The sequence below is a fragment of the Homo sapiens genome, chromosome 2 (genome assembly GCF_000001405.40).
Source record: "Homo sapiens chromosome 2, GRCh38.p14 Primary Assembly".
Classification (NCBI taxonomy): Eukaryota; Metazoa; Chordata; class Mammalia; order Primates; family Hominidae; genus Homo; species Homo sapiens.
The window spans coordinates 54,641,533-54,663,799 of NC_000002.12; the positions used below are offsets into that span (position 1 = coordinate 54,641,533).

The following is a 22,267-nucleotide window of genomic DNA, read 5'->3' on the forward strand; positions in this document are numbered from 1 at the left end:
AGTAGGAAGTGCGTGCCTTTATTGTCTAATAGATCCATGGTCTTTGATGACAAAGGACTTTATGAGATTTGCTAGTTTTTCCCTCAACAAAGAGTGAAATCAAAAATCTCACTACCTTTTGCTTTTAACCCCCTCCCACCCCCGCCCCCTGCCCCATTCCCTGTGTGGTGAATAGCCTGAGAATAGGGACAGTGCCCAAGAGTTCACCCACTTTCAGAGCCAGAGGGCTCCTGTGACCCACGTCGCTCTCCTTGACATCATTTCCAAAAAACAAATCTCGGGGAGCCTTTCCTGGCAGCAGCCCACAGTGGGAGTGGAAGGGCCTTGGAAGTGTTAATTCTGTAAGTACTTCTACTGGTTTTATGTGTCACTTCTAGATCTTTGTTGGTAGAACCATGAAGGATTTAAGGTGCCAATTTGTTGTGACAATAACTGGTGTAAAAGTGGGCTTCTCACGGTCACTCAGGAGAAGGGACATGGTCCCTTCAGTTGGTTACTTCTGATTCCAGGCTGGCTCTGCATTCTTTTGTGTATCTTCAGCCTGGGCAAACAAAAAGCTCTTCCTAGGTTAGCAAAGCAAATGGGGCGGGAATCAGGACTCTGGCATGGCCCTTACAGGCAGGCAGTAATGAGCCAGGGCCGATTCGGGATGGAAGCCAGCAAAAGTGGGTCTGGGCCTGGCGTTTGGCTGACCCCGGTAAGAGAGCTCCTTTCTCAGGTCTGTCAGCGGCCAGCAGCCTTTGTGCGGCTCTCTAGAGTTCAGATCCAAGCAGACATGTTGGGTCTCAAAATCAAGTCCTGTGAAGTGTTCTTGGTGTGAATGAAAGGTTCTTTAGAGAACTAGAGGCTATAGAAAAAGAGGTGAAGGTGACTCAAACTTGAAGGAAACATTGAAAGGGCATGATTGTTGCCTTAGCCCTACAGTGAGCAAGTTATTTATGCCTTTTTGCATTCCCTTCGATGCACCCACAAAAAGGGGGAGGTAATAAATAAGTAGTTTTTTTTTTTTTTTTTTAATAAAAAGAACTAAGAGAGTAAGAAGGATTGCCAAATGGAGTAAAAGTCAATCATGATTAACATGGTATAGCTGACACAGGTATTTGGAAGAGAAAAAGAGTCATGTCTTGGAGTGGTTAGGGTAGAATTTTAAACACGGGCCTTTTGTGGGGAAAGCCAGTTATGAGTGCCAAACAGTTTGAAAACTGGCTTATAGAGCTTTTGTACTTCTGGAATGAATGTTAGATATAGTTTGGAGCAGAGCTCAGGTACAAGCTCCATCTAATGGACACCTGTCATGACGGGTCAGAGTTGTGAAGTTAAATATTTGGTTGTCTGTCACCATGGAAACGTGTGTAGTATGCATAATATGACATAAACACAACCCTTTCCAGGCGGAAAAAAGGCTGATGTCTAGGATCACAATCTCTGAATCCTTCTGATCTTTCTGTAGCTGTCTCTCTGGATCAATGAGAAGATGCTCACAGCCCAGGACATGTCTTACGATGAAGCCAGAAATCTGCACAGTAAATGGTTGAAGCATCAAGCATTTATGGCAGAACTTGCATCCAACAAAGAATGGCTTGACAAAATCGAGAAGGTGAGTTAAAACATTTGATGTGGCCATGGTGAGAAAACAAACAGGGTAGTAATAAACTCCTTTTTATTTAGCACATTTTCCAGCATATCTGATCTTATCTGTACATTTACGTAAGTTACACAGCCAGTAATAGCTCCCTTTGCACGTACGGGTTCCTGACTTCAACCCATCAAAAGGGAAAAAAGCAGAAACCCAACCAGTTAGTAGAAAATGCTTGATTTATCGTAGAACGAATACTAGGCATTTAGTTTCTGTTGTGCCTCTCATCTGCTGTTGCTGATGGACTGTGAGCTCTCATGCAGGGATTCCACTGTCTTGATCATATTATTTGTGTTGTACTGTGACAGATTGCACATAATTTTAAATATATACATATTTTTTAAAATTGCTTTTTCCTATGAGACTACTGTATACCAGGCGCTATAATAATTACTATGATGTGTTATTCTTGCACAGAGAGATTCTGGGCAGCATAACTGAAGATGAATATGGAGTCCCCCCCTTCCCCCCGACTTCTCTCCTTTTAGACTTTTTATAGTGTTTCAGATTCTTCACGGTTAAAATAATGTGTTGGCAGGGCACGGTGGCTCATGCCTGTAATCCCAGCACTTTGGGAGGCCAAGGCAGATGGATCACTGGAGGCCAGGAGTTTCAGACCAGCTTGGCCAACATGGTGAAACCCCATCTCTATGAAGCATACAAAAATAGCCAGGCCTGGTGGTATGTGCCTGTAATCGCAGCTATTGGGGAGGCTGAGGCACGAGCCCAGGAGGCAGAGGTTGCAGTGAGCTGAGATCACGCCACTGTACTTCAGCCTGGGTGATAGAACGAGACTCTGTCTCAATATAATAACAATAATAATAATAATAATAATAATAATAATGTGTTGTATATCATCTTTGGTCATGGAATGGAGGAGATAAAGTCACGTTATTAGCATTCAGTATTCCGTTGCCCCAGTTGAGACTATTTCAGCATGTAACATTTATTGCTTAATTCCCATGAAACCCTTGTAATGTACACAACCTAGGGGTCGTTGTTGATTTTATTGAGCAGTAACTTCATGTGGAAAGACTGTGTGTATTGAGTGAATGGTTAAATCACAGATCAAATGTCCTAGGTTTGTTTTTCACAGTGACATTTTTTCTGTAGCAAACTTGTTTATTTACAACCATGTTGGTTTTGTTTTCCAGGAAGGAATGCAGCTCATTTCAGAAAAGCCTGAGACGGAAGCTGTGGTGAAGGAGAAACTCACTGGTTTACATAAAATGTGGGAAGTCCTTGAATCCACTACCCAGACAAAGGCCCAGCGGCTCTTTGATGCAAACAAGGCCGAACTTTTCACCCAGAGCTGTGCAGATCTAGACAAATGGCTGCACGGCCTGGAGAGTCAGATTCAGTCTGATGACTATGGCAAAGACCTGACCAGTGTCAATATCCTGCTGAAAAAGCAACAGGCAAGTGGACAAGCCATCATGGACTTGGGTGTATTTCTGTTTTACAGCCATAGTCCTTAGAGTCTTTTCTCACCCACTGCATTATCAGGAGTCCACCTTCCATGGGAAGGCATTTTTAACCCAAAATATTACTTGCTCTAACAGCATCGTAGAACATTTCCAGAATAGAAAGACACTTGTCCAAACTAGAAAGACACAGTATTAGGAGTATTGGGTGTTGGCTGTCTGTGTATGGGATTGATAATTTTCTTAGTTAATGGGTATTATCACCGTTTAACAGTTAAATAAATGTTCATCTCATTCAATTCTGCATTTTACACGAAAGAAATATTCTCATACTTTGTTGTTTAACATCGTGATTTGTGACAGTTATCTGAGTTGTTCAAGGCACTTTATAGGTAATAAAAATAACTGTTTATATTATATCACCGTAGAGGGCTTTAAGGGCAAATGAATTTACCTCAGATTTACTTGAAAACAGTTCCATTGATGTTGAAAAGCAAGTCAGTGGCAAAATGTTTGAGTGGCTCCCATGGCTGGCTTTGCGGTGTGGCCAAGTCCCAGGCCCAGCAGTTCTGCTTAGAGCCAGTCACTGCAAAAGATAGTCTGTGCTGAGCGCTGAGGCTGCTTCTCTGCCCTCAGATGCTGGAGAATCAGATGGAAGTGCGGAAGAAGGAGATCGAAGAGCTCCAAAGCCAAGCCCAGGCCCTGAGTCAGGAAGGGAAGAGCACCGACGAGGTAGACAGCAAGCGCCTCACCGTGCAGACCAAGTTCATGGAGTTGCTGGAGCCCTTGAACGAGAGGAAGCATAACCTGCTGGCCTCCAAAGAGATCCATCAGTTCAACAGGGATGTGGAGGACGAGATCGTGAGTCGACCCCTACTGCACACATGGCTTTTCCACGAGCCCCCTTGCCTGTGCTAAAGCCCACATTCTCACTTCTCAGTCATCCTCACCTTGGGCCACGTTGGCAAGCTGAGCTGCCAAAGTCCACGCTCTGGATGGTCTAAAGTTTCTTTCCCTTTTCACCCTAAATGTAACTCCATTGGTCCTCTCACGTTATCTAGGGATACTGTAGGATTTTAATGGCCCTAAAACAGACTTTTTAAAAGTAATGAGGACTCACAGTGAGTTTGACCTTGAGGATGAGGTAGAGTTGGAAAGACTCTCCCTAGCCCTGTCTCGGAGAACAAGGGCGTGCTTCCCCAGACAGCCCTCCCGAGGGGGCTGAGCACTCTCTGAAGCTCACCCTTGCTGTCCCTCACTGCCCCTCACTGCTCGTTTGTGTCGTATATTTGTTCCTCTGAGTGGATCTGACCACTTATTTAAAATTCTTCCCAGTTGTGGGTTGGAGAGAGGATGCCTTTGGCAACTTCCACGGATCATGGCCACAACCTCCAGACTGTGCAGCTGTTAATAAAGAAAAATCAGGTAAGCCTTTCTGCTCGAGCTAGTTCTGTCTGATAAATAATTGCTCTAAATTATGAGACTGGGAATGGCAGAGAGCTTTGAAGCCTTGCTATTTCTTTCTGGCCCTAACAGCTTGACATAAGCAGCAGACGGCTGCCATTTAGCAAGCCTTTGTGTGTATTTTCCGCTCCCTCCAGACCCTCCAGAAAGAAATCCAGGGGCACCAGCCTCGCATTGACGACATCTTTGAGAGGAGCCAAAACATCGTCACTGACAGCAGCAGCCTCAGCGCTGAGGCCATCAGACAGAGGCTTGCCGACCTGAAGCAGCTGTGGGGTCTCCTCATTGAGGAGACAGAGAAACGCCACAGGCGGCTGGAGGAGGCGCACAGGGCCCAGCAGTACTACTTTGACGCTGCTGAGGCCGAAGCCTGGATGAGCGAGCAGGAGCTGTACATGATGTCAGAGGAGAAGGCCAAGGTGAGAGGAGGCGGGAAGCATCCCTGTCCCAGGAGAGCCTCAGATTCAAACCCTGGGCACACTTTCTGCTGGCGGCTCTGTCTGTATAAAAACTTCCCTTGTAGCCTTTGAGTGTTAAGGGGACACCATGTGCATGAAGGTGTCTGAAATCCAGCTGCTGGTTTCCCTTTGGTGCAGCATTTTCTTATCTGAATCCTAGTGTGCCATTAAGAACAGGTTCATCCTTTCATCTTTGAAATATGCCAGAGTCCTTCCTGCTGTCTATTTATAGGTTCCCTAAACTTTACAAAATACAGGATGGCTTGGAGACAATTTGAAAGTATTGCAAGGTTCCAGGAATGCTGCCATTTACATACTTGAGGGACCTTGAGGAATTCCAGCGAACCAGGCACACTTGGTCTGCCCAAGCTTTTCTCTGAGAGGGGCCCTGCTCATTCTGCGTTCTCCTTGTGTTTATCTTCTGCACAGGCTTCTGTGGTCCAGTCCATATGGAAGCTCTTGGAACACTTCTGTGTTCCACTGTCCGTACTGCACCTCTGGAGTTTTTCTTTCTACTGATCCTTCCTCCTACCCTGCTGAGCAGCTGGTCTGTCACTCCTTAAGGGGTAGGGCCAGAGGGGACCGCTATGGTTGTGATGTTCTCCTGTCTTTGCAGGATGAGCAGAGTGCTGTCTCCATGTTGAAGAAGCACCAGATCTTAGAACAAGCTGTGGAGGACTATGCAGAGACCGTGCATCAGCTCTCCAAGACCAGCCGGGCCCTGGTGGCCGACAGCCATCCTGAAAGGTGAGCGCTGCTTCATGAGTGTGAGACCCGGCTCTCGATTCCTCTCAGTTAGGGTCTCTTGCTAACCCCCACCAAAAGAAAATGTCAGCATTCATCATGACTTGCTGGTAAGGCAAATCTTTGAGAAGCATTTTTAAAACAGACCCATCATTTAAAACATCCTATCATGATTAGGATGGGTGAACTGTTATATTAGGAAATTGCTCTTGTGGGTTAAATATCTCCCGTTGGCCAAGGCTCTCCTGAAAGAATATTGGTGTCGTGAGTCAAAAGTACAGGTTGACTAGGCTGGGCAGTCAACGTAAAGTGGCTTACACTTGTAATCCCAGCACTTTACCAAGCCAAGGTGGGAGGATTGCTTGAGCCCAGGGGGCCAAAGACCAATCTCGGCAATGTGGCGAAACCTCATCTCTACAAAAAATACAAAAAATCAGCTGGGTGTGGTGGCACACGTCTGTACTACTCAGCTATTCAAGAGGCTGAGGTTGGGAGGATGGTTTGAGTCCAGGAGTTTGAGTCTACAGTGAACCATGTTCACACTGCTGCACTCCAGCCTGGGTGACAGAGTGAGACCTTGTCTCAAAAAAATAAAAATGATCAGAAGTACAGGTTGACTTGCATGGTGGATACAGATAGTCATAGCACTTACACTTGGGTTGAAAAAGTCATCCAGTTTAGTAAAGTAATTACTAGTTTTAAGAGGAGCATTAGACAAGAATGCATAGACCTGTAAAATGAAGGGGCTCCCAGGAAGAACAAAGTGATAACACCTCCTAACTCTTCGATATCAAGTGATTAGAACACCTTCGAGGAAAAAGAAGAGGTGAGTGTGTGGTACTCATCAGGCCCCTGTATTAACTTCCAAAGCAGTCATTTTAGGATTTTTGTGTAAATGCCTTTTATGACTTGGAAAGGAATTGGCCTTGTGCATTTAACCAGGGCAGGTTAGGGGAGATGAGGTCAGTGGCTCTGTTGGTGTAGGAGGTTCTTAAGATGTTCATGATCAGGATTCCCAGGAAAGTGGCCTTCCTAGTCTCCAGGGATAGGCACCAACATGTCCTTTGTCTCTGATATTCTGGTTTGTAGACCATCACTCTGGGGAGAAGTTGGAGGGAGGGGGATTCAGTCTCCTGACTGCGCACCTGGGAATCATGAGATGGAGCAGCCGGTCCAGCCCTCCTAACAAGGATGGGCACTCTGCCCAGAGAAGGTAGAGGGCCTTGCGTGCCACACTGGCTGTGTCATTTGTCCCTCTGGCAGCATGGTACCAGAGAATGCAAGACCACTCTGGATTTTGCATTAACTTATTTTCTCTTTTGTCACCTTCCTGACTGGGAAGATTTTGCATTAACTTTTAACATCAAAGGAAATCCTGATTTGCAGAGCCAGAGGTGCAGAGAGAATTTTCCCCTTTCCCCGCTAAATTCTCCTGCCCCCACTATTCACTGCAGCAGAATGAGGCACTACCCATCCCTAGTGTAATAGTAGGGATAGGTGAATGTAGTTTACATATTGGCTCTTTTGTTTACATATTGGCTCTTCACGACTTCAAATTGTGGCCAATTTCAGAATTTTATTTTTCATGCTAAGTGGGTTAACCAGAGTTTCCTTTGAGAAATATGATGTAATATGCTCTCCCATTATCTCCACCTCATTTGTTTTTCCCCTGAAGAAACTTGACATTTAAGATCCTTTTTCTCCCCATTGCTCCTTTTCTTTTTCAGTGAGCGCATTAGCATGCGGCAGTCCAAAGTGGATAAACTGTACGCTGGTCTGAAAGACCTTGCTGAAGAGAGAAGAGGCAAGCTGGATGAGAGACACAGGTTATTCCAGCTCAACCGGGAGGTGGACGACCTGGAGCAGTGGATCGCTGAGAGGGAGGTGGTCGCAGGGTCCCATGAACTGGGACAGGACTATGAGCATGTCACGGCAAGTACTTGAGGCAGTGCATGAGTTGGTTGTGCAGTAAGCGATGGTGTGGAAGGCCATTTGCATTCCTTGTCTGTGAGCAGATAAAATGCCCTGGACTCCAATCAGAGGTCTTGGGGTTTAGTTTTAAGGTGGTGTTTCTTTTATAAGCTGGTGACTCGCATTTAGGTTGGCTAACCTCTCTGTGCACCCCTTCCTCCGGTAGTAAAAGGAGGTGGAGGTAGTGCCTCACTCTGCTGCAGTGAGCAAGAAAGGAAACCCAGTTGCTAAGAGGTTCTCGAGCTAAGATCTATTGTTCTGAAGTCATGAGTATTATTGGCTACATCTTGCTTAGAGGCAGTTTCTTTCCAAAGGGTATTCATGTGATCAAGAAATACAGAGTTCACAGTGGGCTCTCTGATTTCCTTACCCATCCCCGTTTCAGATGTTACAAGAACGATTCCGGGAGTTTGCCCGAGACACCGGGAACATTGGGCAGGAGCGCGTGGACACGGTCAATCACCTGGCAGATGAGCTCATCAACTCTGGACATTCAGATGCCGCCACCATCGCTGAATGGAAGGATGGCCTCAATGAAGCCTGGGCCGACCTCCTGGAGCTCATTGACACAAGAACACAGATTCTTGCCGCTTCCTATGAACTGCACAAGTTTTACCACGATGCCAAGGAGATCTTTGGGCGTATACAGGACAAACACAAGAAACTCCCTGAGGAGCTTGGGAGAGATCAGAACACAGTGGAGACCTTACAGAGAATGCACACTACATTTGAGCATGACATCCAGGCTCTGGGCACACAGGTGGGTATGGCAGCCACCCAGGGGTGCTGGGGAGGCTTTTTCTCCATAGAACATCTTTGGGCATCTGTAAGTATCTCCCTGTTCCTTGGCTCTTCAAAAGAATTGCCCCAATTAAGCACATACATGTACCCACTTTGTAATAGTGCTCCATTTGGGAGAACTTATCAGTCCATAAAGGTCTACGTTTGCCACATTTGTGAACATTAGATGAGTGCCCCCATGATTAAAATAAATAAACCAGATGCATACACAGATGTTTGCAAGTTATAGGCCTCAGCAAGTGTTTTTATTATGTTAGCATATCCATCCAGAACAATTTCCAAAATAATATTTTACTATTTTTCATCAACCAGGTTCTAAGTTGTATGTCTGGAAAAAGAAAAAAACAGGATTCTGACATTTTATCATGCCTCGTCCCCAGTATGAAATGACTGGCACTAAGACTTTGTTTAAAAGATGTTTGACAAAGTAGTAACAATATAACAGAATCTAGTGTAATCACTCTCTAGTTTCCTTTCTGATCTCTGCACAGTTTCTTGTTTAGTCTTATGCCTTTTAGTTGAAAAACAAATTGTATTTTTTTTCTTCTAAGTTTCATGGCCCTAGAGAAGAAGCCAATTTTATTAAAGATGTTATCCCTGATTATGTCAAGGGTTCTTGTTGTTAAGAGTATATTGAGTATCTAAGTTATCTCAGCTTTTTCTGTTAAAGGCCAAATAGTGTTTTTCGCTTTATGAGATACATACTCTGTTGCAGCTCTGCCCTCTGTCATTGTAGAATAAAGCAGCCATAGACAGTGAGAAGATGAATGAGCGTAGCTGTGTTCCAATAAATCTTTATTTACAGAAACAGGCCACCCAGATATGGCCTTGGGCTGACCCAGTCTAGTGCCTCAGCCTCTAAATAGCTTTGGTATACTTTGGGATTTGTTCTATGAAGGGACCACCTTGATAGTTGTTCTCTCTCACTTCCCCTTAATTCTTAATTCCTGTCACTATGATGGCAAGTTTAATTTACCTCTCTAAGCTTTGGTTCCCTAATAGTTTAAGGATTGAGGTGCAAAACATATGACATAGTGAGATCTCTAGAAATGTTTTCTAATTATTATTATATAACAAAAGTTTAGGGAAACATGGGATATCTAGAGATAGAATTAGAAAACACCTTGACAACATAGGTCTTTCCTCTGCACCTCTAAAATCATTTACTTTTAGAACTGCAAGACACTTGAGAGACAGTGGAGTTGCTCTCTCATTTTTTCATTAAATCCCTTCACCTCATTAGACTTAGAGATGAGGAAGCCAAAGAAGGGTCTCGGAACATCCAGGGTGGGAATCTCGTCCCTCGAGTCTGATAGTCTGCACCTCACCATACCCACTGGGCTATGATGTTATAGCAGTGAAAAGGATGTGTGTCCTACTGCAGGTATTGACCTGATCTGGGTTTCTTTTCACAGAATAACAGAGCAAAAGGGAAGGCTCATGGTGCAGGCTCCCAGGAGTACATGGTGCTTCTTCTTTGGTTGTTTCCTTTTGTGCCAACTTGAAGTGCCACTGTCTCCATTCTGCACGGGAGCTGTGGGAATGACACATAGCACTGATGGAGGTCTTGAGTGGTTATGCAAAGCAATAGTTCATATTTGTGGAAATTTTCACTTTTGCTGTCCTCTTGTACCTTACATTTTATTGCGAGCAAATTGAAAACAGCCAGAGACACAGAAACAGGTGTTTTGAAAAATATGGTTCATTGTGTAGGAAAATTAGCTTTTCAGATAATTTCCTAGGAATTTGCTCATTGTAATTTGAGTTAAACCTGAGCCATAATCAAAGAATATTTCCAAAAATCCTTTAGGATATGGAAATCAAATCACACTGGAAACCAAAGCCTGTTGGTTCTTCTTTGTATCTTTTGCAGAAACTGCTTTTTTTCTTTTTTAACCTGTTATCACCTAAAGTGCTTCTGTGCAATCAGGGGTCAGTAATCCACCTCCCCACAAGCCCTACTGCTGTCCGTACCCCCCCGCCTTTTACCCCACTTAGCATTTCTCCATATTCTACTCTCATAGACATCTAAAAGCTCTCATAATCCAGGACAGTTGTCTGCGGACTTCTTTGATCACGCAGCTTTATCAGTACGTGATGATTGTGTGTCCATTCCCCTATATGTGTATGCCTTTAATTAGACATTGTACACAAGTATGGCACTACTGATGTTACATACTTTATATAAGGCATGTAAGAGGAGAAAATTTAACTATAAAATTAGCTGCAGTTATTAGCTTCAGTTTTAAAGACATATACCGTTCCCCAAAAAAAAGGTAAGAATGTAATCTTATTTTTGTTTTTACAGAAGAAAAATATTATGCACGTTGTCTTCCACTTCATTGTCATCTTGGTGTGCTTTTCATGTGACTACACAGAGGCCCTTCCTCATTCTTTTTCATGGCTGCACAGGAGTCTCCTGCTGGATGCACCATCATTAATTTAACCAGTCCTTCACTGATAGTCACTTTATTTTCAGTCTTTTGCTTTTACAGACACTGCTGCAGTAAATAATCTATGCATATTTCGTATCCTAAATATGCAAGAATGTATATGTAGGATCAATTCCCCAAAGTAGGATCATAAAATCAGAAGGTACCACATTTATAATTTTCATGGGTACTGCCCATTTACCTTCTGTAGGAGCTGTAGTCTGTTACACTCCTGTCTACAGAGAATGAGCTCACTGACAAATATATCATCACACTTGGATTTTTGCCAACTAATAGATGACACATTACAGTATCTCCATGAAGCATCTTTTCATGTTTAAGACCCATTTGCATTTCCTGCTTTCTGAATGTTTTCTTCATGCCAGTTTCTGTGTTGGTTTGTTGGTTTTTTTCTTTTCTTTCTTTCTTTCTTTCTTTCTTTTATTTATGACTGTCATAGCTGAAAAAGATAACTCAACCAAAATATGTAGATGTAAGTAGAAGTGTACCATTGGCTCCATTTACCAAATCACAATTCTCAATGTATATTTTTAGTTTTGCAAGGTTTTTGTTGAAATTTGGCTATTTCAAGTTTCACCTTCTTTAACGTTAATTAGTTATTTTAACCACATAGGGTGCCACGTTTTTATACTTTTTGAGTGTAAATGTCCCACGGTGAGAACTCTTACAGGCGATACATACATTGTATTCACATAGCAATGAGAAGTCATTTTCAAAATGTGCTCTTCATGGCAGTTTCCCATTCATCATAAAAACATTTATCTTTACCCCGAGATAGCAGATTAGGTATTTATTTTTTGGACTGTATCTGAATATGTCCCACTCAGATATCCCAGGCTGCCTCCAGGGGACTTTCCCTGACTAAACTCTCCTGCCTGTCTTCCTGTAGCATTTCATTTGTTTTATCATTCATAAAGAACTTAATAATGTAGTTGAACAGATTTATAGAAAACGGGTTTTTGTGACTTGGATCTCCCCAGTGAAATTGAGGGCTCCTTAAGGGGCATGGGCCATATTTTGACTCTGTGCTCCCTTTAGTGTATGAGCAGAACAGAATAGGGCTTGGGGTGATGGTGGGAAGGCCGCCATGGGCTGACCTGGCTCATCCCCTACATGGCTTCACAGGTGAGGCAGCTGCAGGAGGATGCAGCCCGCCTCCAGGCGGCCTATGCGGGTGACAAGGCCGACGATATCCAGAAGCGCGAGAACGAGGTCCTGGAAGCCTGGAAGTCCCTCCTGGACGCCTGTGAGAGCCGCAGGGTGCGGCTGGTGGACACAGGGGACAAGTTCCGCTTCTTCAGCATGGTGCGCGACCTCATGCTCTGGATGGAGGATGTCATCCGGCAGATCGAGGCCCAGGAGAAGCCAAGGTAACGCTTTCAGCCCAAAGGAAATTGGACTTATTGGCGCTTGGTTAAAACACAGGAGTCTTCCAGAGAGAAGCAGGAGCCTTGAAAGCGTTCCTGCCTGAGCGCTTCAAGGCCAGAGTGGGGGTGGGGCGGTGCTTGGAGTGCGGCACCACTGCTTGCCTCGTGCACTTGGCTCGTGCACACCATCACCAGGGAATGTGGGAGCCTGGGGTTATCAAAGCCTGTCCCATTCTCCCTACTCCTGGCTCCCTTGACCCACAGTCACTCAGGCCCTCTTGCCCACATATGTGCTTGAAGTAGGACCTTGGGCTTCAAGTAGCCACGTACCTTGGACATGACTAACTGCCCCGTCTTTGCAATGAGATGACTTTTCTGAGTTATTTTTCTGTGCCTGCTTTTTGGATTAAAGACCACTCTATCCCTTTCCATGCACATTACTAAAGGTGTCACCCTCAACATCTGCTTTAATATGGTGTCCTTGGGTTATTATTTAATATTTGTCCTATATCTTTGGCTTTGTTTCATGCAAATTAGTGAAGAGAAGTTAATAGAGGAACACACAGGTACATATTTAACCTCCAGTTCACCCCTCTGCCAGCTCCAGCCCCCACTGTAATTGAGAAACTATGCTGCAATAAAAGGGATTTTTTATGATATATATTTTTTTGAAGCAGTTGTATTTCCTGGATCAGGATCAGTAGGTTTTGATCCATGCTGGTCACTGCTGTCTAGGCTAGTTCCCATCCTGTGTATCTTTTTGTGTCTGAATAAGGAGACCGTATTAGCTGCTCTTTGATATGGCCATCCTGAATCTTTGACAGCTAACTCATCAAGGTGCGATTGCGGCACCTCTTGCTGCTTCTCTACTTTCTAGAAGAGAGTCTTTCTGACTTGCATTTCAAAGTAAAAGTTTGAACAGAAAACCATTGCTTTTTCTGGCACCCACCTAGCAACCATTTTGAATTATTCAGGCACACACACAAAAACAAAAGCAGCCATATTCTACAGTTTGGTTACCTGGCTGGTACTGAACTGTGCTGTCACTGTGCTTTGGCTCCAGTGGCCCAGCCTAAGCTCAGGGAGTGATTCAGACCTGAAAGACCATCAGTTTCTTTCAAGGCCATCAGTTTCTTTCAAATTAATTGTGTGTTTTAAAACCTACACATTTTTTGAAAAGCTTGATCTCCTAACGGAGGCATCGTTTGTCTAATTTTAGGGATGTATCATCTGTTGAACTCTTAATGAATAATCATCAAGGCATCAAAGCTGAAATTGATGCACGTAATGACAGTTTCACAACCTGCATTGAACTTGGGAAATCCCTGTTGGCGAGAAAACACTATGCATCTGAGGAGGTAGGTTGCTACTTTGCTTTGGAGCTGCAGCTGGCGTCAAGATGTAAAATGACTTTGTTTTATATGTTTGTGTGTGTCAGAGATACTGTGTTTACATTCTTATACACACACACATATGTTTTAAAACTCCTTTCCTGTGCGTCTAGAATAATGCAATTATGCAAGACTCTAGGCCCAGGCTGGTAAATCTCTGGCACAGAAGACAATTTTTGAGGGCTACAAAATGGACTCCGCATCCTCCCCAATCAGTACTCTTTCTAGGTGACGCCAATGTCCATTGACTATGCCCTAGATCAGTTTGCTGTTGAGTGCATGGTTGGTGATTCTGGTTAGGATGGTGGTAATAAAGAGGTAAATTATTAGGTGCGTGTGTGGCCCCCTGCATGGGAATGGGCATCCTCTCCAAGAGGTCAGGGCTTTGTCCGTCTTGCTGTCCCTCTCCTGAACGTGTTTGCCGCAGGGAGCCTCCTCACGACAAAACAGCTTTGGCAGGGCTTCCGCGCCTTCCTCCAGCCCCTTCTGGAAGGAGCAGTGCTATGCTTTTCTTTCCTCTCCCAGTCCTCAGACAGACTGAGCAGTCCTTAGATATCTCCCAGCTTAATGGTGGTCTTTGCAGAAAATGTATTTTTCTAGTATAAAATGACCCCATCAAGAGGATGTGGTGCATTCCATTAAGATGTCCCGGGGATCCTCTTTTTCATACAGATCAAGGAAAAATTACTGCAGTTGACGGAAAAGAGGAAAGAAATGATCGACAAGTGGGAAGACCGATGGGAATGGTTAAGACTGAGTAAGGATGTAGTTTATCTTTCTGCTCTTTTGGGTATCAATGGAAAACATGCACGTTTATTTTCTTGCTTTAATTCATTAATGTTATCATTTAAAGATTGTTCGAGTTGTAGATGCCTTTTTAGTGCCCCGTTTCACCATTTCATGGTAAATACTACTTTTAAGAAGCTTCCTATGGCGTAGTCATTTTTCACCTCTTGATTGATCTCAGTGTCATAGGTGGGATTTGGATGTTCTTTAGGGATGACAGAGGGCACCTCCCTGGGAGAATACAGATAGAAGCCCTCTCCCCCATTTGTCTTCAAGAATTCTTACTACAGAATCAAGTTGGAAAGTTGATCTCATTAAGTCATATTTGGTGCTCTTAGTGGAATGTTGATAACATAATAAAAACTAACATCTATTAAAATTTTGCTGTGAATGAGGCATTGTTCTAAGTGGTTTTTTAATGTATTTCTGTGTTTATTCCCCAAAGTGACCCTGTGAATTAGATTCTATTTTTAATTCTCATTTTATAAGGGAATATGTGAGCTAATACAGGGTTTATAATGTACAGTATTAGGAATAGCATTTCATAATTGGTATGAGCACTAACAGCGCAATTCTAGCATTGCTTACCATGCTTTGCCATTCTCTGTTGGAGTTCTGGGCTCTGTCCTTATGTTCTAACTCCATCTATGCATGTTATGGGGGTTTACTAGAAACCAAATGCAAGGGCCTTTTCTGAGAGGTTTGACGGCACACTCTGTTGGGCCCAGAGCCCTCAGAAATCCCACTTTTTGACCATTCTTTGCAGGAGGATTTGGTCTGTATGTTTTGAGAATTGTGGGGCAGTTTCATTCAGCTCAGCAAAACCCACATTACACACTGAACCGGGCACCAGCTTGTACACCAGGGACACAGTGATATGCACAGTCCCTGCCTTGAAAAGCCAGTAAGTCCCTAGTGCAGAGGTGGCATCTTCTTCATGTAGTCATGTTGGGGGCTACCGAGGTGCTGAAAGCAGATAGCTAGCCAGCTCCTTGGGACACCAACGCTGCCCACAGTCCATTTTTTACCTCAATGATCCCAGGCTTTGCTGCATGAAATGAAGTGAAAATCAGTGTTAACTATAGCAGAAAGCCTGGTTCTAACCTACCTTCTCATAACTATGTTGGAACTAGTGTTCCATTTCCTCACAGGTGGAAGAACAGAATGAAACAGAGCAAAAGCCTTGGTCCCCACCATCTGTAGTGTTCCCATATCCTTCCCTCCCTCTAAACCCCCCAAAATAAAACACACAACTACCGCCCAAAAGAGGGCGAGTTAAGAATGCCTGCCCATCTGGCTACGTGTAGATTGTGAATTCCTGCAGGTCTCTGAAGGCTTAGCTCATGAAGTGGGGCCGAGTGAACAGAGCGTTCACTGTAGACCTGCGCTGAGCAGTATGATAGCTGCTTTCCCACGTGTGGCTCTTGAGAACTTGAAATGTCTCAAATTGAGATGGGCAGTGAATGTGTGCCGTAAAATGCACATCAGATTTAGATTTAGAAGAAAAAAGATTGTAACAGATCTCAATAGTTTTTTTCATATTGATTACATGTTGTAATAATTTTATACATATTATGTGAAATACACTATTAAAGTTAATTTCACCTATTTATTTTTACTCTTTTTAATGTGGCTACTGGAAAAGTCAAAGTTGCAAGTGTGGCTCACATTACATTTACATTGGACAGGGCTAATTTAGAGTAGACGATAGACTGGTTATGCAGGTAGCCATCACCAGAGGGCAGCAGTGCCAAGAGGTAAGGCCATATGACTGCCCGGCACCTCCTGGTCAACGTGTACTAACTCATGGTACCCTGTGCAGTTCTGGAGGTCCATCAGTTCTCAAGAGACGCCAGTGTGGCCGAGGCCTGGCTGCTTGGACAGGAGCCGTACCTATCCAGCCGAGAGATAGGCCAGAGCGTGGACGAGGTGGAGAAGCTCATCAAGCGCCACGAGGCATTTGAAAAGTCTGCAGCAACCTGGGATGAGAGGTTCTCTGCCCTGGAAAGGCTGACTACAGTAAGTGGCCGCTGGGCCCTTTGTCTGTTGGTGCCCTGGGCAGCCTTTTCTTCCTGCTTGCCTCTTAGACCAGGGAATTCACACGATTGCTTGTTTTTGTTTTTTGGGTTTTTTTCAAGTAGTGAAGATCATCTTAAAATGGGTGGCTCCTGTGGAGCAGGACCTAGGGAGAGGGTCAGGACTGTTACCTCCTCAGTCACATCCTGGGCACCTGGATTTATGATCCCTTATAGTAGCTTCCTGCCTGGGGGTTGATTGGTGGTGTTTGCTTTTTTCTTCGAATCTTTCATTCTCCCCTATCTCATAAAAGCTTTGTTCTCAAGGGGGCATGGCCTCAAAATTTTCTTCAGAATTTCAGAATTAGAATTCCCATCAAATGGAAGCTTAATCCTAGCCTGTTGTTAAGTCCCCAGTCCTGATCCCCTCTTCTGTCAACATAAAGGCCTTAGAATAGGATTTGTGCACTGGTGTTTCCTCTCCCAAGACTTTTGCATTCCTGGTAGAAAGCTGATCCTTTGCAGTGTACAAAAATGGTGTTTCTGGTTTCCAGTTCTGGGTGTTTAAAATGTACCTGCATACATTTGTGTTAAAACAGAGTACTTCTGGTACATCCATATGACTCATGAAATGGCTTTGTTTCAGTTAGACTATTCTGTGGCTTTTTAATGTGTTGTTTGGGTTTTGGCTGAACACAGATCCCCACCACAGCACAAGCGGCTTCCTTGAGAATTATTGCAGCTCTGTCCCTGGTGTTTGTCTGAGCTCTCCTGGGGAGTCCAGCATGAACCCTCAGGCTCAGGTACTTTTCTCCTCAGCAGAGTTGAGAGTTGCATAGTTACTTTAGAAATTAAACCCAAGCTCCCAGGGGTCCTACAAACAACTCACAGGAATTTTGCCAGCCCATGGAATAGACTATTTCCTGTAGTTTTAGGTTGTAGCTGCAGTTCCTGTGAACCTAATTCCATTTGGCTCAGGATGTTAGAGCTTCTTGTCCAGTGTGGTCCAGTTTAGCAAACTAGACAGGAGGACTTCCTGGGTTCCTAGAACCTTTTTCTGAAAAGAGGCAGAGTTTGGGACTCTACCAAACATCACTCTATTTTCTCTTAGTTGGAGTTACTGGAAGTGCGCAGACAGCAAGAGGAAGAGGAGAGGAAGAGGCGGCCGCCTTCTCCCGAGCCGAGCACGAAGGTTTCAGAGGAAGCCGAGTCCCAGCAGCAGTGGTGAGTCCCAGCAGCTCCAGAGGCTGGACCCTTAGCCTCGGTGGCCAATGAGGTTTATGGGGCATCTTTCTGAAGCCTTGCATTGCTAGGCCTAACCACATGCCCTGCCTACTGATTGCTTCCATAGACTGTTTAAAGGCTGTACAGTTATCCCTAAATAACCTTGGAGGGCACTGATTTGTCCACAGTCACATAGGTATGTAGGTGGCAGAAGTAGAATGTAGACAGTGCCCTTTCTCATCCTGTGTGCACACACACAGGATGCTCAGAACTTCCATATGATTAAATGCATGGAGTGAACTGCCCAGATTTTAGGCCAGTGATTTTGTGGTGATGCGTTTTTTGAGAGTTCTAAGTAACTTCACACAGAGGGCAGCAATTATTCTCTACTTCCAAAGGGCTAATTATTTTGCTATGGTAAGAGTTCCATGGCAACCTCTAATGCTGCCTTTATGTGGTGGAGCGGGGCATAGGGCATTCCTGTAGTCGTATTTTTCTGTCTAGAGTCTATTTAAAACACTTGGAAGTTTCAGATTTAAAAAGAATTAAATTATGTGAAAAGGTTGCACGTAATAAAATTGAGTGATGATGTTCTCCCACCCTTTCTTACTGTTTCCTCTTTCTCCTCTTCTTCCTTTCCCTTCCTCCTTTTCCCCTCTTCCCTAACAGGGATACTTCAAAAGGAGAACAAGTTTCCCAAAACGGTTTGCCAGCTGAACAGGGATCTCCACGGGTTAGTTACCGCTCTCAAACCTACCAAAACTACAAAAACTTTAATAGCAGACGGACAGCCAGTGACCAGCCATGGTCTGGACTGTGAAGTTCACTACCATTTGTCAAGAATCACCCTTTCCAAATCCTCTGGGTTTTGACTTTTTGGCTTCCACTTCACCCAAAATGTTAAAATTTTTACTTAATTCATAGCCTTCCTTGGTTTCATATTTGTTTGCATTTAATTCATGTTTGAGTCTCTTAACTGATGGATGCCCACTTGCCTTAAAGCAGCATACTTATTTTTTGTTTATTTATTGTGAGCTTTTTACTTTATTAAGATTTTACAGCGAAACCCTTACATGAGTAATTGAAATGAAATTAAATGAGATTACAGCATAATGAAGAAGAAAACTAGAATCTAACAGGTATGACACATTCAGTTATTCTAACAGGGCACAGTACTGTGCTATATGTAGCCGCCTTTACAGATGTTATTAACCTATAGTAGTTTACTATTAACTAGGAAGACTGGTGTATGAGGAGGGAGACATTCTGTAATAAGATTAAAACCTAAAGTCAGCTGTGTAACATTCCATGAAAGATGCATTCATTTATTGAAGATGACAAAAAAGGGAGTCAGATATATTCTGGAAGCTATTTTAATTTTAGGCACACAATCTCATACATTTTGAGACCCTTGGGTCATTTATTACTTTTTACAAACTAGTTCCTCTCTTTTTTTCTGCCAAGTCCTGAATTGAAAACTGTAGGCTTCCTTGCACAGATGTTGCAGCCAGCCTCAGGAGTAAAGTGCCCGCTGACTGCTGCCGCCACCTCTGTCTCGCTCCCTGTCAGTGCTGCTGGCACGTGGGACGCGGCAGGTGACAGCCGTTCTCAGCATGTTTTAGAAGCTTGCCTCACAGACTTCCATGCCTCTCCATTCAGCCGATGACTTCAGGGTGTCAAACTGTTTTAATTTTTCAAACAAATGGAACAGAAGCCATTGTGGTTCATCCTGATTACTTGAACGTTGCACTTGGTGGACCGTGCCTGGGAGCGCTCGCATGCCCCCTGGCTTCAGAAGTCATGTCAGTGTCTCTGTAGACAAACTCCACTGTACATCTTGGATTAATCTTCTGATTCATTGTTCATTTTCTCAAGACTTTTTGTGGAATTCTCTGATAAAGGAAGCTTTTAGGATGGTATCTATCAGGCCACCAGCAGGAATTGAAAATGTTTTCACAAAAATCCTTTTCCTTAGAAATAAAAGCTGGTGACAGAGATGGTTTCCTTGTACCGATAAAAACAAAACCAAATCCATATTATACATCAAAACCTTGTGAGACATTCACTTGCTCTTTTGCCATATTTAGATGTGTCAGTGGAATCAGAAACCTGTTTTGATATGTGTTCTCTATGAGTTAAGTCTGATTTGTCTTTTTATTTCATGATGCATGTCTTTTTTTTCTTTTGTCAGGATAACGTCATATAGCATCTTGTTTGTTTTTCCTTATCTCTATGTACATATCTATCTACTTCTGACTGTAGATGGGTATATAGATAGATGCCAAGCTTCTTATGTTCTGGGGGTAGTATGCATCATTATTGGGTCTCTGCCTTAAAACACATCAAAATTCATTTTAGACAAAAAAACTTCTGCTTTGTCTTTGGTCATTAGGGAGCTCTAATGTGTGTTTGTGGCTCCAAGTTACATTTTGTGTTTCATTGATCTATATGTATATATGTGATGTTTTCATATATATATGTGTGTGTGTTTAAATTTTGTATCATCAGGACTGACACCCAATTTGACACTTTTTGTATCTAGAAGACCCTCCAAAAAAGGAACCACATAAGCACACAAGAAAAGAGTGCTATGATGTTCTTAGCATTTGCTATCATGCCTATTTTTATCTAGATTTTTAAATGTAGCTTGTCATAACAAAATTTTAATTACAATTGGCTTGTATGAGAAGAAAAAGTATTTTTATTGTTTTGAGTGATGACGCAGAGACTCAGTGAACTTGAAAATAGCATTGCTTCGTGCACTTTGAATACCAATCAGGTGTTTTCTGTGCTACTAGTTGTCACGTTGCATTCATGTTCACCTCCTGATTTAAGTATCTCGGGTGTGCCCAGCCACTAAAGCACTCTGGACTAATCGCTAAAGAGAAGCAACGTGGGGGGTGGGGTTGCGAGGGATGTGTTCACATGTACCCATCATTTGATCATAGCACTGTGATTGCTTTTGATGTGTGTCTCTAGTGGTGTGCTGTCTGTTGGCATGCTTAAAGCACATGTCCATTAAAATTCATTTTGTTCCTTTTATTTTCCTTGTTTTCTTGGTTAGTGATTCATTTGCATAAACATTAATGATCTCTGCATACTGGTTTGGGGTTTTCTCTTTCCTTCTAACTCTAAAGAAAAAATTTTTGCTGCAGAATTATCCTCAGAAGAGGCTTCCCTGGCCTTCATCTACCTTGCAGTCTGACCAAGTATGATAAATTTTAGCCGTTTTCAAGGAAACATCTCTCTACCCAGGTCATTGCTGTCACTAGCAGCTTTCAAGTCAAACCTGCAGCACTAAATTTTTTTTTATCCTGGTTTCTCTACATACTAACCCCATGTCTCTCTGGACTCACACCTGGCTCAGGCCTTCCAGACCAAACTCATACTTCCTCCTCACCAGAAGTTTCCGAATCTCACACTAGAGAAGATTTGTCACCTTTAAAGTCCACTCACATTATTTTGACTCAGGGTTTTGTTTTTTGTCTATTTCCCCTCCTGCAACTCTCCTTTAAAAGTGAAAAGAGAGAGAATGGTTTAAGTAGTCTGTTGCTCATAAGCACGTGTCTGCAGTCTGTCACTTGCAAGGCCTTGGTGATCACCATGCAGCACTTGTGCGCACACACACCCCCACAAGTCTTTTTTCCTAATAATCCATTTTCCACATTGCCATGAGGGTAAAGGGTTCCAATCAAAACCACCATTAAACTGCATAGTTTCTAGTCTTCCCTCAGCCCTGATGCTAATTATGATAGTTTGCATAGACATAACTTAAACTTGTGATTCTCCCTCCTTCCAGAGCTTTTTGTAGCCCTTTTTCCCCCCAAAATTAGTTTTGTTCAAAATCAAGCATTGGGCCCAGCCATTAAGATAAGACCTAATAAGTGAGAGATACAGTTCCCAAGAGTTTACAGATCCAGGTGTTCACATGGTGGTGGCCAGTCTACCGTTTATCTTGTCAAGGTTGTTACTGCTAATTTGGTGTCACTTTGGTCTTGGGCAGCAGTGGTGGGCGACGTATCTAATGAGCGTGCCATTGACTTCTCCATGTTTGTCTGTGTACGAGGGGTGCAGGTTGTCTGTAATCCACTAAAGTGTCAGCCACACCCAGCTTTAGTAACTCGCTAATCGCACACCCTGGGTGTATCAGCCAGGGGCTGCTACAGTTAATGGTACACAGTTGATGGTACACAGGCTGAAAATGATAATGAATCAAGACCCTACTACATTTCCAAAGCCGAAAAGCCATGAGGGTTACAATTTAAATGAGCTTGGGAAGGAACGCTCCCGAAGACGTCTCCAGCCTGAAGGGTCAGAGCCGCTGGAAGCCTGGCTGTCTCTGGGCTTTCTCGTCTCAGTGCAGCAAGGCACCGTGATCAACCAACCCGTGATGGGGAAGGCCCTGGTTCTGTCTTTGTTTGGGGGTAAATAGCTGTGTGGTGTTGAGTGACTGTGATTGGCTTTTCCAGCTCCTTTAACACAAACTACAACCCACTCACGATACAACTTCGGCAGATGTGGTCAAATTGATGT

At 43.6% G+C, this 22,267-nt stretch overlaps 1 protein-coding gene across 13 annotated transcripts in view; it reads left to right on the plus strand.

The window, feature by feature from the left end:
• The window catches only part of SPTBN1 (spectrin beta, non-erythrocytic 1), a 215,120-nt gene that overhangs the window by 185,206 nt on the left and 7,647 nt on the right, over positions 1 to 22,267 (plus strand). For 12 of the 13 annotated variants that reach the window (NM_003128.3, XM_017004781.2, XM_017004779.2 and 9 more), the window contains 14 exons: positions 1,451 to 1,597; positions 2,791 to 3,054; positions 3,697 to 3,921; positions 4,396 to 4,485; positions 4,662 to 4,943; positions 5,599 to 5,729; positions 7,454 to 7,658; positions 8,083 to 8,457; positions 12,077 to 12,321; positions 13,538 to 13,676; positions 14,382 to 14,466; positions 16,318 to 16,514; positions 17,622 to 17,734; positions 18,404 to 18,467. In NM_003128.3, coding sequence (NP_003119.2) covers positions 1,451 to 1,597; positions 2,791 to 3,054; positions 3,697 to 3,921; positions 4,396 to 4,485; positions 4,662 to 4,943; positions 5,599 to 5,729; positions 7,454 to 7,658; positions 8,083 to 8,457; positions 12,077 to 12,321; positions 13,538 to 13,676; positions 14,382 to 14,466; positions 16,318 to 16,514; positions 17,622 to 17,734; positions 18,404 to 18,467 — 2,562 coding nt within the window. Of the gene's footprint in view, positions 1 to 1,450; positions 1,598 to 2,790; positions 3,055 to 3,696; positions 3,922 to 4,395; positions 4,486 to 4,661; positions 4,944 to 5,598; positions 5,730 to 7,453; positions 7,659 to 8,082; positions 8,458 to 12,076; positions 12,322 to 13,537; positions 13,677 to 14,381; positions 14,467 to 16,317; positions 16,515 to 17,621; positions 17,735 to 18,403; positions 20,777 to 22,267 lie in introns of those variants that run through there. The other variant, NM_178313.3, reaches the window with a different exon arrangement.